Source organism: Homo sapiens, chromosome 2 (assembly GCF_000001405.40).
Source record: "Homo sapiens chromosome 2, GRCh38.p14 Primary Assembly".
Taxonomy (NCBI): Eukaryota; Metazoa; Chordata; class Mammalia; order Primates; family Hominidae; genus Homo; species Homo sapiens.
The window spans coordinates 82,875,736-82,876,575 of record NC_000002.12 but is presented as its reverse complement, the minus strand read 5'-3'; the positions used below and the strand labels follow the sequence as shown (position 1 = coordinate 82,876,575).

At 53.1% G+C, this 840-nt stretch overlaps 2 annotated features.

The window, feature by feature from the left end:
• Window positions 337-631: an enhancer, noted in NCBI's record as "tiled region #13516; K562 Activating DNase matched - State 13:Ctcf". NCBI's record gives its function as "activates a minimal TATA promoter and a strong SV40 promoter by Sharpr-MPRA in K562 cells {active_cell/tissue: K562}" and the evidence as "EXISTENCE:reporter gene assay evidence [ECO:0000049][PMID:27701403]".
• Window positions 337-631: a silencer, noted in NCBI's record as "tiled region #13516; HepG2 Repressive non-DNase unmatched - State 24:Quies". NCBI's record gives its function as "represses a minimal TATA promoter and a strong SV40 promoter by Sharpr-MPRA in HepG2 cells {active_cell/tissue: HepG2}" and the evidence as "EXISTENCE:reporter gene assay evidence [ECO:0000049][PMID:27701403]".

Sequence of the window (840 nt, the reverse complement as noted above, 5' to 3'; positions counted from 1 at the left end):
TCCTTCCTTCCTTCCTTCCTTTTCTTTCTTTTTCTTTTTCTTTTTTTCTGTCAGGCTCCTCTTCTGTAGGGTTGCTGCAGTTTGCTGTGGGTCCTTTCCAGACCCTAATCACCAGGGTCCTTCCTGCACCTGGAAGTATCACCTGTGGAGGCTACAAAACAGCAAAGACGGCAGCCTGCTCCTTCCTCTGGGAGCTCCATTCCAGAGGGGCACTGATCTGATACCGGCCGTAATGTTCCTGTAGGAGGTGTCTAGAGACCCCTTTTGGGAGGTCTCACCCAGTCAGGAGGAACACGATCAGGGACCCACCTAAAAAACCAATCTGGCTGTCCCTTGGTGGAGCCAGTGTTCTGCGCTTGTGGAAACCTCCTCATAGAGACAACCTGAACTCTGCAGAGCCAGTAGGTGGGAAAAACTAAGTTGGCTGAACCACAGAGACCACAGCTGCCCCTCCTGCCTCTGTCTCAGGGAGATAAGAGTTATTTGCATAAAACTCTGGCTGAAGTTGCTGAAATTCTTGCTCGGAGGCCCCGCCCAGTGATGAGGGATGGATCAGGGTCCCATTTAAAGAAGTAGTCTGGCCACAATCTGCCACAGCAGCTGTGCTGCGCTGTGGGGAATTCCTCCCAGTCTGGACTGCCCAGACTCCCTGGAGCAGGCAGGCTAGAGTGGCCAACTAGGCTATAACGGGAGCAGCCCTTCCCTGCAAGAAATCGGTCCTTTTACAGGCAGTCTCCACCCTACTGCCACTGGCCCGCTAGAATTCCAAGTCAGTGGGTCTTAACTTGTGATATGCCATGGGAGTTGGGCCTGCTGAATGATGCCACTTGGCTTCCTGGA